The sequence below is a fragment of the Homo sapiens genome, chromosome 1, assembly GCF_000001405.40.
Source record: "Homo sapiens chromosome 1, GRCh38.p14 Primary Assembly".
In the NCBI taxonomy this organism is placed as follows: Eukaryota; Metazoa; Chordata; class Mammalia; order Primates; family Hominidae; genus Homo; species Homo sapiens.
This window is the reverse complement of record NC_000001.11, coordinates 150,147,906-150,160,084: the sequence shown is the minus strand read 5'-3', so window position 1 is coordinate 150,160,084 and position 12,179 is coordinate 150,147,906. Positions and strand designations below refer to the sequence as shown.

The 12,179-nt window shown below is 51.6% G+C and overlaps 1 protein-coding gene across 4 annotated transcripts, besides 6 other annotated features; it reads right to left on the bottom strand.

The window, feature by feature from the left end:
* Positions 1-19: 19 nt before the first annotated feature.
* Positions 20-10,439, bottom strand: PLEKHO1 (pleckstrin homology domain containing O1). 4 transcript variants are annotated; one of them, NM_001304722.2, is made up of 6 exons: positions 10,299-10,439; positions 9,027-9,173; positions 3,879-4,019; positions 3,070-3,174; positions 2,599-2,700; positions 20-1,266 (listed from the first exon to the last, which is right to left on the bottom strand). In NM_001304722.2, exons 5-6 carry the CDS (start codon positions 2,605-2,607, stop codon positions 562-564), a joined length of 714 nt encoding a protein of 237 aa, NP_001291651.1. In that variant the 5' UTR covers positions 2,608-2,700; positions 3,070-3,174; positions 3,879-4,019; positions 9,027-9,173; positions 10,299-10,439; the 3' UTR covers positions 20-561. The 4 variants fall into 4 exon arrangements, with proteins under 4 accessions (NP_001291651.1, NP_057358.2, NP_001291653.1 ...); NM_016274.6 differs by lacking the exon at positions 10,299-10,439 and adding an exon at positions 9,798-10,169; NM_001304724.2 differs by lacking the exon at positions 2,599-2,700.
* Positions 378-427: a silencer, noted in NCBI's record as "silent region_1296". NCBI's record gives its function as "represses an Ori minimal core promoter by ATAC-STARR-seq in GM12878 lymphoblastoid cells {active_cell/tissue: GM12878}" and the evidence as "EXISTENCE:reporter gene assay evidence [ECO:0000049][PMID:35858748]".
* Positions 728-1,229: an enhancer, noted in NCBI's record as "H3K4me1 hESC enhancer chr1:150131051-150131552 (GRCh37/hg19 assembly coordinates)". NCBI's record gives its function as "activates a minimal SCP1, AML or CMV promoter by ChIP-STARR-seq in naive H9 embryonic stem cells {active_cell/tissue: H9 hESC(naive)}" and the evidence as "EXISTENCE:reporter gene assay evidence [ECO:0000049][PMID:30033119]".
* Positions 9,729-10,229: an enhancer, noted in NCBI's record as "H3K27ac hESC enhancer chr1:150122046-150122546 (GRCh37/hg19 assembly coordinates)". NCBI's record gives its function as "activates a minimal SCP1, AML or CMV promoter by ChIP-STARR-seq in naive H9 embryonic stem cells {active_cell/tissue: H9 hESC(naive)}" and the evidence as "EXISTENCE:reporter gene assay evidence [ECO:0000049][PMID:30033119]".
* Positions 9,729-10,541: a biological region, named in NCBI's record as "H3K27ac hESC enhancer GRCh37_chr1:150122046-150122546".
* Positions 9,862-9,941: a silencer, noted in NCBI's record as "silent region_1295". NCBI's record gives its function as "represses an Ori minimal core promoter by ATAC-STARR-seq in GM12878 lymphoblastoid cells {active_cell/tissue: GM12878}" and the evidence as "EXISTENCE:reporter gene assay evidence [ECO:0000049][PMID:35858748]".
* Positions 10,082-10,541: a silencer, noted in NCBI's record as "silent region_1294". NCBI's record gives its function as "represses an Ori minimal core promoter by ATAC-STARR-seq in GM12878 lymphoblastoid cells {active_cell/tissue: GM12878}" and the evidence as "EXISTENCE:reporter gene assay evidence [ECO:0000049][PMID:35858748]".

Sequence of the window (12,179 nt, the reverse complement as noted above, 5' to 3'; positions counted from 1 at the left end):
TAGGAATGAGAAGCCAGTGTCTGGCTGGGGAGATTTTAATTCCACAAATCCTCCTCAGGGCTGGGATAAATTTCACTTCCATGTGCACGGACAGGTGACACTGGCCTCCACATCCCTACAACTAGAGTTGGGCAGCTGAAACTTCACCCTCAAACTGAAGGCCTGGGGTGGGACATAACAGAAAACATCCTCATCCCCCTCCCGCTCTAAGCTTAGAAGCCCACTGTATCCTTGGGAGCAGCAGTGGACTCCCTGTGCCGTCTTGGGGGCGGGCGGTGTGTGGAGTGGTCAGACTGTGTCTTTACCGTGCCTTCTCTCTCTCTGGCTGGGTAAAAACTTCCTGCTACTGCTGCGGGGTCACTTCCTCAAACCTGAGGGGCATACGAGGGGCATATGGAAAGTAGGTGGGGCAATAAGGGTTGTAGTGGGGTCAGGCATCAGCAAGAGCAATGAGTTCATTTTTGTTTTCTTTTTTTGATTGAGGTAAATAAAAAAGCTTTATCCAGCAACACGGAGATAAGAGTCTGTCCAACCCGACAAGTTCCAGACCCCACCCTGCCCTCACATCAGGCTCTTCCGGTACTGACTGTGCGGGGTGGTCTGTCTGAGGTGGGAGTCCGGGGTCTGCAGGTCCATCTGTCTGTACAGGTCTCTCAGCTCCCTGACCTCCTGCAGCACCCTCTTTGCCTGGCTCCAATTCGATGATGCCTCTCCCAGCAGCCGTTCCGTCTCCAGCAGCAGCTGCTCTGACTCAGAATCCGGCGGAGACCGAGGGGGGTCCTTGGCCTTTCGCTTCCCATCTCCCAGTCCCTGAACCTCTGCCAGAAGCTCCTGAGTCTCCTCCAGTTTCCTTGCTACCAGGTCCTGGATCCGGGACAGCTGCCCCGGGTTGGGGAGGGCAGGGGTTGGGGGTTCCTCAGCCCGCAGCTGGAGGGTGCGGGCAGAGGCAGCATCCCGCTGAGATAGGATCTCCTCCAGGGAGGCGCAGCGGCCTTTCTCTGTGGGCGTCAACTTCTTGGGTGCCTGGGGGGTGTAGGTGGCCCCTTTGTCTGTTTTTTCCCAAGGTCGGGAGAGACTGCTTGCCCGGTCTGCGGAGGGCTGGATGCGGTCTGAGTCCGCTCTCCGCCGGCTCCCTGCCAGCTGGGCCACAGACTTGTCCAGGTCAACCCGAAAGCTCTCAGCACAAGAGGTTGGTTCCTCAGGGGAAGGGTCTTCCTCTTGGATCAAGTCCAAGGTCAGCATCCCATCCGAGGTAGAGGTGGAAGCCTGTGGAGGAAGGGGGGAATGAGTGGGGAACCTGTCATCAGGAGGGATTTTCGGAATGACTGCCTAAAAGATGCAAGCTGTGGTCATTTTCCTCTACAAGCCTTCCTTGAATGAGAAGTACTTTTTTTTAGAGACAGAGTCTTGCTCTGTCACCCAGGCTGGAGTGCAGTGGCACGATTTGAGCTCACTGCAAGCTCCGCCTCCCGGGTTCACGCCATTCTCCTGCCTCAGCCTCCCGAGTAGCTGGGATTACATGCGTGCACCACCACGCCCAGCTCTTTTTTTTTGTATTTTTAGCAGAGGCAGGGTTTCACCATGTTGGCCATGGCTGGTCTCAAACTCCTGACCTCAAGTGATACACCGTCTCAGCCTCCCAAAGTACTGGGATTACAGGTGTGAGCCCCCCTGCCTGGCAAAGCCCTCTGCTCTTGACTGAACCCTCCTACTGAATGTGCTGTTTCTTATTCCTTTGATAGTGACTTGAATGTTTCTTCTTCTGTGATTTAGTTTGTTACTTGTTTCCTGTATTCTCCACTCTACCATAAGCTTCCTGAGGGGCGCCCTCTTCCTTGGTATTGTGGACTCTCAGCAATTAAACTGCATCTGATGCACACAGGATGCTCCCCATGGCACGACTGTCCTCCTCCATCTGCATCCTCTGAGTCCCACACTTCAGCCCCCTTGCCTTATAATAAAATTTGTTCTCTTATTTCCAGAATACTAAAAATGATGAGTATTCAATACCAAATATGTTGTTTTAGTCATTCCTCACAGCAGCCCTTCAAGGCAGGCATGATTACTGCCTCATTTTACAGTTGGAGACATGCAACTTCAGGGAACCACACAGGTAGCTGATTACAGTGAGGTTCCAACTCAGGTTCTAACTCCAAAGCCTGTGTTCTCTGCATTATACCTGCCTGCCTCTCTCTCTGAAGACTTAAGAGCTCAGAGGCATGAAAGAAACTAGCACGTTGTATGTTTCAGGAGTTCATTGTGATCCTTTCTCCTCCAAACACCCGCGGTACTACATGTTGTTACCCATCAAGACAGCCACCATACAGTAGCTAATTTTTCATTTTCCTGTGGGTATAACTCATTTTCTCCGAAAGAGGGTAACATTACTGGGAGCTGGGACTTTTGAACTCCTAATGGGCGCTGAATAAAACCTTTTGATTTAGATCTGGCAGAGGCATTGGGTGGAAGGACTTCCCTCGCCTTTGATCTTGGCATCAAGGAGGCCTCCCGCAAATGCCTCTGGTGGCATACAGTTCTGTCTGAGATGGACTGACACAGAATTGGCCCTTTGGCAATGTTTATTACAGTCTTACATACCACAGCCATTAGGTGTCCCCTTGTTGGGGGGCGGCGGGAGTGCTGGATTTTTGCCCTGTCTCGAGTGGGATGGGCAAGATAGCTGTCCTCCTCAACGGTGACCTGAAGAGATGTACTGTGAATCATGAGTGCTCTTCAGCGACTCGCTGTCCCAACCCAGCATCCCGAGGCCTGAACATGTGCCCACTCCATTCACTGCTTCTGAATGGGCAAGGGGATTTACTGGACACGAAGGGGGCTCTTTAAGCTGACCCAAGGCTGGCTCCCCCATCATGAAGCGGGGAAGAGGAGGTGTCAGATGAGACTTGGAGAGAAGGTAGAAAGAGATCAGGGCTTTTAAAAGGGTGGTAAAGAAGTAGAGCTGGTGGAGGAGCGAGTAAACGGGGCCTGCACAATCCTCCCCCTTCAGTGGGTCACAGCTGTTCCCTCTGCCCCAGCGTTCCTCCCTCTCCCCACAGTGAGCCCCCTGACCTCATCCAAGATACGGTTCTTGGCTCGGGTGATGGCAGAGTTGAGGGCATTGATCCACGATTCCTTCTCTTCTGGACTCACTGCCAGGAAGATCAGGTTGGGTGCCTGTGAGGGGAAGATTCCTGTTTCAGCCAGGGTTTTAGAGGTGGTGCCTCACCTTGACAATGAAGAAATAAGAGATTATAATCTCACTTTCTTAGACCTAGCTCCAGGAAGGAGAGATATTCTGCTTCCAGAGTCATCCATAACTTAAGGAAACCCAGCTTCTATTCCTGCAAAATGCATAGCTAGGAGGTTGTTTTAGAAATGACCAAGGAGGAGCTAAGAAGGATACTGAATATTAGTATGGTATTAGAGATAATTAGAGGAAGTCTGATGAAGGATAGGTATTAAAATACAAATCTTTCAATGTTTGAAGAAATAGAATGTGACAGGAATAACTTCCCTGGGTTCCCTCAGACAAGATGAATTAGATTCAGAACTTCAACCACCTATCAGGGTACAAGGACAGGGATTTTCTTCTAAGGGATGTAAATATGCACATGTGTGGATGTGTGTGTATAAGACAGAGAAAAATAAAGAGATATATAGAGAGATGATCTTTGTGGCTGAACAGGTTAAAGGGTGGCCTGCCTGGAAAGAAGGAAATGGCTACAATATTCTCAGGTGAAATGATAAAAGCCAGCAGGAGAGCAATTCAGGGAATCTGAACCAAGATTGCTGAGAGAGAAACTGAGGGGAAGGAGTTCTCCCCTGCCCCCTCCAACCCTGTCCATGTTCCAGCAGCCAAGGTGGCAGGAGAAACATACCGTGTTACCGGGCTGTTTGGAGTGGGCAAGAGTAAACTTGCTATGATTTTTCTTGCTCCTGCTCTTGGACTTCCGGAGCTCTTCACACTTCTCATAGTCACTCAGGTCAAATACCTCTTGAATATTTTTCTCATCTTTTACCTAGGGGAGGGTTGGGGTGAGGTGAGGAGGATAAAATTATTTAGCCCCTCCACCCAGACTGTTAGTTTAGATCATCTTGGGAAACAGAGGAAGCCTGAGGAGAGGGAGGCACGCCAGGAGAGGAGAGGGCCGTCTGCCCAAAGCCTACAAGGTCCTCACATCGAGGAGGACGCTAGGGCAGCTCCAAGTCTTGAATGTTAAGGTGTGTTTCTGTTTAAACCCCTTCTCTTCACTCTCCTTAGCCAGGCTGCCATTTCCAGAGTCCCACTATGCCTCTCTTCACCAACCGCCCCACTCTTTTCCTTAAGGACACAGCTTACATGTTCTAAAAAGGCTCACGTCCTTAAAGGGACATGGTAGATGGTTGATCCATTGCCCTCAGTAAGACAGACCTGTATGGCCCTTGATGGTCCACAGAAAGAAGATCAAGGCAGGGCCAGTTATCGGGGTGTCTGGAGGGAACGAGGGGCGGTCTCTGGCCTCCCCACTCACATGTGTGCAGTATAGCTCTCCCACCCCACCTCGCTTCCTTCTCTGGTATGTACAATTATAGAGACTCATCTTCCTTGTTCATTTCAGGAGCATCGCCACCACAGGACGGCAGCCCCGTGTTCAGTTTGCTGAATTTGTCCAGAGAAGCTGAAAACTACAATTACAGTTCCTACCCTTTCCTCCTCCCTCTAAGGTACTGTGACAATCCAAACTAACTCCTCCAGACCCCCTATCTCTAGGCAAGAATGCACTTAGACTCTCCCTGGGAGACTACACTTTAGACTTGGAAAAAAGTGACTTCTGTGACTTCTTGCCATTATTCCAGTTTGAGTGCCTGGGCCCCCTTTACTGCCAGGAAGCTCTTCCTCCTATCTAAACTTAGCCCTCCCTGCTATAGTCTCCGTCCCGCACTCTGGTTCCACCTTTAGCAGGTTTTAAGCAACATTTAGCTCTTAGCACTCCTGCTGAACGTCTCATCGAGGCCGCATTCCTAGTGACATTCTCCAACCCCAACTAGCCTTTTCTGAGCACTGCAAAGCAGCTCTAGGAACATTTCTTCGCAGGTTCATCTGAAACTGACCACAATGTTTTCTCTTTTCCCCTAAGGTGGTGTTCCTACAACTCTGGGACTCTGAAGCAGTGGCTTATGGATTTGTTTTGGCTAGCAAGGACCAAAGTTACAGAGAGGAGACTTAGTTACAAGTCCAGACCGTGCAGTCTGTCCACCCTCCGTGGCTTGAGCCCAGGGTTGGAACACCTCAGGAAAAACCTGGTCACGTTTTCCTGGAATGAGAATTAAAAGCACCAGCACTTGTCTCATTAAAACTAAACAAACAGATAAAAGTAGCCTCACGTCTTCCTTGGATGACATCTACCCACCCTGACTGAAATTATTTTCCAAAACAGTCCCCAACTTCCCAAGTTCTGAAATAGGACTCGTGTGCATGGAGGTGAACTCATCTATCCTCCTGGTTCCTGGAAACCTGGAAGTGGGGAAGTGGTTCTCCCTTCCATTACCCAGACCATCTACAGTCTTGTATCTGCCCATCCTTCTGAACTGCTGCTGGACCTGGAGGCTGATGACAGATGAGGACAGATGTCAACATGGCCCCATTCAGGTGAGTGACGCCTCATACATCTACCTCCATTTGTTTCAGCAAGGCTTGGCTCCTCCAGGGCCTCCCACTTTCCAGGGTTCCCTGGCTTTGGGCTGGAAAGTGGCCAGAGGCCTTGAATGATTACGGGTGGAAGTAGGACAAGGTGCTGGCAAGGGGTGTCCAAGAGCAATTCCCAGAAACACGGGACAGGGATACAAGATGATGCATCATCCCTCCTCTCCCCCTCCTTCTCCAGAGCTGAGACTATCAGCAGAGCCCAGAAACCGTGGAGAGGAAAGTGTTGGGTGTGTGAATGTAGCCAGGGGAAGAGAGTTAACTTACTATGTTTTCCTTAGGGGAAGGGAAGGAAAGGGAGTTATTCTACCTTGCATACAGACTGATTAGGAGCTCTGGGGAGCAGGAGACACTGATAGAGGTTAGCCCTTGGTGGAGAGGGTGGGAGATGGGGTGAGGCAAGCAGTAGGACAAGTATATTCCAGTGCCTGGGAAGATGGACAAAGCCAAGCAGCCTTGTTCTCCACCATATTGTTTTTTTTTTCCCCACATATCTAATTCCCAGAGTCTCATTTATAACTACCCATCTTCCAAATTAACCCTTCCTTTCCCCTGATTCTTCGTCCTTGACTATAGAAAGGGATTTTTCCCACGCCTGTCCAAAGAGTTGCCCCGAATCCAATTTCCTCCACCATGAGGTCTTCCTAAGGTCTAGCTTCTGTTCTTACACATCAGCCTGTGATCATAAGGTGCTCCAGCCCTCTTTGAGAGAGGATGCCCTTTGAGAAGGAAGAAAATGATTACTATCGAACACAGAAGAAATTCTACGGCAGAGGTGGTTGTGGGAGACCCTGCCTTTAAGAGAGGAAATAACAAAAGAGACTGGTGAAAATTCTGGGAGATAGGGTTAGAAATTTTCTTGCATTAACAGTAAATGATATAGATTATACTCTGCCTTAAAAAAAAAAATCTTGGTCAGGGACTGTGGCTCACGCCTATAATCCCAGAATTTCAGGAGGTTGAGGCAGGAGGATCACTTGAAGCCAGGAATTTGAGACCAGCCTGGGAAACATAGTGAGACCCCATGTCTACAAAAAATAAAAAAAATTAGCTGGGTGTGGTGGTGCATGCCTGTAGTCCCAGCTACTCCGGAGGCTGAGGTGGGAGGATTGCTTAAGCCCGGGAGGTCAAGGCAGCAGTGAGCTACGATTGTGACACTGCACTCCAGCGTGGGCGACAGAGTGAGACCCTGTCTCTAAAAAACAAAACAAAACAGAACACCGTGTCTTGATTCTATTGGCCCTGGAGCTTTTCACAAGTGGGCAAAATAAAGCCCAGAGTACTCTGTCAATTTCACTTTTTAACCAGGCCCACTGTAGCATTGAAACTGGCTCTAAAAAAGCACAGTATCAATATGCCTAGTCCCTCTTTCCTGTGCCCTTCCCAGCAGGAGACAGCTGGCTCCATGACCAGTCAGATGGTCCTGACTCATAGGACACCAGATATCCTAGGCTGAGGTCATTCCATCCTTTCCTCTGTCTCTGTACCTAAAAGCAAGGATCAACTACGCTTTTGCCCCCAGACTCTGCTCTTTGGGCAAATACAAACAAGCAATGGATGTCTTATTCCTCTTACCCTTTCACTATTATGTTTTTCTCTTTGATGTGTAGGAAGTTCTCCCTGATTCGTAACTAGAGTTTCCTGCAATTAAGAAGTTCGGGGAAGACAGGAGATACACTTTGACACTTGTTTTTTTTTTTTTTTTTTTTTTTTAATTTAGAAAGCCAGAAAATTGTGGAGAAAACTTTCTGGAGGATTTGTGATTGGGCAGAGGTAACTCTTAAAAATAAATCCTCCTGGCCAGGCACGGTTGGCTCACACCTGTAATCCCAGCACTTTGGGAGGCTGAGGCGGGTGGTTCACTTGAGGCCAGGAGTTTTGAGAGCAGCCTGGTCAACAACGCGAAACACTGTCTCTACAAAAAATACAAAAACTAGCCAGACATGGTGGCACCCACCTGTAGTCCCAGCTACTCCAAGGATGAGGTGGGAGGATCACTTGAGCCTGGGAGGTGGAAGCTGAAGTGAGCTGTGATTGAGCCACTGCATTCCTGCCTGGATGACAGACCAAGAAAAGTGCCCTCACCTCACTCCTAAGACTTTCCATCACCAACTTGCTAGTTTTGTGTAAACAGCTAGGTTTCAATACCCTTAAGAGGGATCTCTTTGGCTGTGGCACAGCTTAGTTCTTCCCTAGATGCCTCAGTAGATGTTCTTTTAGATGAGTACTTTGTCTCAGGGTGTGTGTGTGTATGTTTCAATACCATAAAAGGTTTTATTTACCTAAATATAATCTACTGAATAAGGATGTCTACTGCAGAAAGCAGAAGAGGTTAGAACTCAGGGAGGACTTCCCAGTTAGCCCTGGGTGAGGGAACACAGAATACCTCCCGTGAGGGCGGGAGGAAGGGCCACTCTAACCGGTACACAGGACAGTCTTCCAGGCTATACTGACTGCCTTTGGACAGTCACAGAGGCAGGGAATGGAATGACTTCTAACCACTGTAGGGGCAATTCTGATTTCTCCACATTAGTACACGTTATTGATCCCAAGACTTAGGGAAAAAAGGGAGATGGGTCTGGATTCAATTATCATAGCTCAGGTCTTGACACAGTGTAGACTGTGGTTTTCATGGTTAACTACACAGCCAAAGCTATCCAAAGACATACAGGGGTTCTTAACTCCATTTCTCTCCCTTCTGATACAAATGGAGGGGTGGGCAGGAAGTGGGTAGAAAATGGGTTCCTTGCCTTTTTTAAATGGGGTGGGGGTGGGGAACAGAGAGCATACTGGTTAGGGACACTGGCTTCAACGAAAATAACTGCCACTCACACACCCGAGGTCACAGGGGCCTGACGGCGGGGTGCGTGTTTTCTGTGATTCAGGGCGGATGCGCCACGGACAGGACCTGTGCACGCTCCTGCCACAGACAGGAAAGGGGAGGCTGGCTGGGTTAAGGTGGGGGGACAGGAAGGGGTGGCGAATAGGCTAAACTGTTTCAGCAGAAATAGAAAAGAAATCCTATATGCAGGAGGCCAGGTTAGGGTGGGAGGCAGCAAGGGACACTTAGAACTTCTGGGGCATCTTGGGAGGGGCTTATCGTTGTTAGAAAGGTATTTGCAAACAAAAAAACACTGAGTAAGCGGCCAACTCAACTTCTAATTCTCACTCTGGTCTTCTCATTAAAGGGTGGCCTTTCTCTGCAGATGAGATGGGGGTAGAGAGGAGACCACTGAACTTGCCTTTGGAACAAAACGGGGGTGGAGTAAGCTAGGCGAGCCCTTGGGGAGTGACAAAGTGGGGGCTATGAGAAAACGGAGAGTTAGAGGCAAGAGGCACCCACCTCCTTCTCAGAGATGTAGAGCTGGTCCCCTTTCAGCACCACATAGCGGTTTTTCCAAATCTCCCTGAAAATCCCTTTCCCGCAGAATTTCCGGACCCAGCCGACCTTCTCGGGCGGTGCAGGCTGCTGGTTTCCATCCTGAGGTCCCTGCCCCAGGACAAGATGAGAAGCGGGCGGTTAGGAGATTCCAGCCGGCGCTTCCTCTCCGTCCGTCTCTCACGACCGCCTCGGCGGCCCAGTCTCCTCCGAAGGCTGCGGCCGGGGGGCGGGGGGCCGCCCCAGGTTCGCTCCCACTTCGGAAAGGTTTTCACTCCGAGGAACTCCCCCCGCTCCCCTCCCCCGCTCCCGAATAAACAACCGGGGCTGCAAGTGGCAGGGGCGCCGGCCGGGCGCGGAGAGGCTCCCAGGTTCCCTCCAGGCCCTGCGCCCCCGCCGCCCCGTCCTCGCCGCGCGGGGACTAACGGCGTTTCTCTGGTTTTCTCTCCCATTGTCTCCTCGCCACGGCGGAGCGCGAGGCAAACGCTCGCCCGGCGCCCGGGGGCGGGGGAGGTGCGGGTCGTGGGGAAACTCAGCCAAGTTGAAGCCCCCCGAGGCGAGTAAACAAACAAAAGCCCCCGCGGGCGCCTGGCGGGGCCGAGGCCGAGGGGACCGGGCCGCCGGGGCGGGGGCGCGGCCGGGCCGTGGGTCTCCCAGGCCGCCGCGGCGCCGACGGAGCGGGGGTCGTCAGAGCGCGGAGGCGGCGGCGGCCGCAGGGCGGGCAAGCGCACTCACCCGCTTGGCGGAATTGTTCTTCTTCATCATTCCCAGCGGGCGCGGGCGCGGGGCGGCGAGCCGAGGGGCGGCCCCGCGTCGGGGCCTCGGCGGCACCGCGGGGGCTCCTTCCCCGCGGGAGGGCGTCGGAGCTGCCCCGGCGCCGCCGCTCCTCCCTCGCGCCCTCCCGCTCCCGGACTCTCCCCTTCTTTGTAGCTCCGGTTTCACTCAAGGCCGGCCTCCCTCGCATTCGCACTCGCACACACACGCACGCCCGCTCCCCGCCCCTTGGCGCCCTCCATCCCGGCGCCCACGCGGCCCGGGTCCCCGAGCGCACCCCCGCCACCCGCCCGCCCGGCCCAGCGCGGCCGCTCCCCCGGCCCGGTGCGCTGTGGGCGGCCCAGTCCGCACCCCGCAGCTCCATCCGCGGGCCGCTGACGTTGCGAGTTCAGAATAAAGGGCGAATCGCGGAGCCGCAGCTCGGGCGCTCCCCCCGCCCCCCCGCCTTTGTTTCTGACTCACGGAGGGGGAAGAAGGCGGCTTCGAAGCGGCTGGAGACCGCTCCCCAGGGGGCAGGGACCCTCGCTCCGGCGGCGGCTCGGGCGACACGCGGAGCCCGAGAGACCCGGCCGCCGGCCGCCCCGGGGCCCAGTGGGCGGGCGCGGTGGATAATGGAGAGACGTGCGGATTCGTGAAGACTGGAGATCGCCAGCCTCTACAGCATCGCCTTACCCGACCAAAAACAAAAACGAGAGCGGGAACCGGGAGGGCGCGCCACCCACAACCCGCATCAGGAATTCACGCTCCTAGGTGCTAGGGTGGCCTGGGCAGGTCAGATGCTGGGGGAAAGTTTTATGCTCCGGAGGGGATCGACGTGTTGGGGGATGGGGTGGGACAGAAGTTGCTATTAATACACGTTTCTTCCAGCGTACAATGCCTCAGGCCTTATTGTAGCTTCAGGAGAATAATCCTAAGGATGAGGCGGATTTTATGATCTCCATCTCACAGGGAGAAAACGGAGACTCAGAATAGCTGAGGGATTTGCAGACACAGTGTCGATGCTGGCTTTTCAGACACAGTGTCAATGCTGGCAGGAATAGAACTCTGTCTCCAAACCATTATCCTTTCTACCAAGTGGCTTTCAATATAAGTTCCAGGTGAGGCTTAAACTTCCTGCCACCTGGGTATCTTTTCCCGCTATACTGATAGGTAAAAACCCCACCCTCTCTACAGCGCTGGAGCCCAGTGGAGGGAAGGGCTGAACGCCCAGAGAATGCCCTGACTAGAGAAGCCTCTGCTGATCCCTCCTACAGCAGATCTGCCTCAGAGCCTCCAGGACACATCTTAGTAACTTCATGTCTTTTTAATATATATACGTGTGATGGAAAAGGGGAGTGAGAAACCCCGCGCTTGGGTACTGGTTTCATCACCACTCTGGGCTTTGGTCAAGTCACTGAATTTCTTTAGGCCCGCGTCCCTCCACGTATTAAGTGGTGAGGGATGAACTGCCATTTTTATCAACAAGGAAAGCTAGGGGAAGATATGAGATGACCTCTGAGAGTCCTTTGAAGATATGTGTTGTCTTCCAGGGCTAATTTTGAAATCATAATAAGCTAATAAACACATTGCCTGGCATATGGCAAGCATGCAGTAACCACAAAATGAATAAAAATCCCTGGCACTGAGGAGCAGGGAAAAGGAAAAATCATTTTTCCAGAGATGTCTCAAGATAAAAGTGTTGGCTAGATTTGTGGTTTGAATAGTGGAGGCTCTTTTGACTTTTTCTGGTGTCTGTCAAATGAAGGAGGGGCTCCCTCTCTTTTCCAGTTCCACCTTTCCTCCTAATCCAATGATATTCCTCTCAACTTCTTTCCATTCACCATACCAATTAATTCCACGATTTTAGACTGACACAGAACTTTATCCTTTCAAAATGCTCTTATATGTCATTTCTTTACACTTTTAATGCCACCTTGTAAGGTATATAGAGTATTAATATTTCCATTTGGAAAATGAGGAAACAGGGCATGCCAGATAAACTGACTTGCCCAAGTTTATACATCAAGTTACTGGCTAAATGGATTAGAATCCAGGCTTCCTGACTGCAGTCTCCTCTTCAGATTTTGTAACCCCCTCCCATGGGCATGAGTGTGCACACACCACGTTCCCCAAACCATCTTGTCCCCTTTCCACCGTCTCTATTTTCTAACCCCCTGTTTAAAGAGCGATGAAAAAATAATGAGCAAATCCAGGGTGTCTTCATATGTGAGGATGCAAAATGTCCAAATGTACTGGTGAGCAAATAGCCTGCACGATTTTTTGAGGGCTTGCTGGACAAACACACAGGAGTGGTTTAGAGTTATCATTTAAATAGATTCTGATTTATGGGAAAAAAGTAATTCA

What these genes read in the sequence shown, in the direction of transcription:
- PLEKHO1 (NM_016274.6), bottom strand. Translation starts at nt 9,827, where the DNA reads ATGATGAAGAAGAACAATTCCGCCAAGCGG. An exon ending in AGAACAATTCCGCCAAGCGG is followed by an intron (nt 9,174 to 9,797) that starts GTGAGTGCGCTT and finishes GTCCTGGGGCAG; the next exon opens with GGACCTCAGGATGGAAACCA. An exon ending in GGGGACACCTAATGGCTGTG is followed by an intron (nt 1,267 to 2,598) that starts GTATGTAAGACT and finishes CTTCCTCCACAG; the next exon opens with GCTTCCACCTCTACCTCGGA.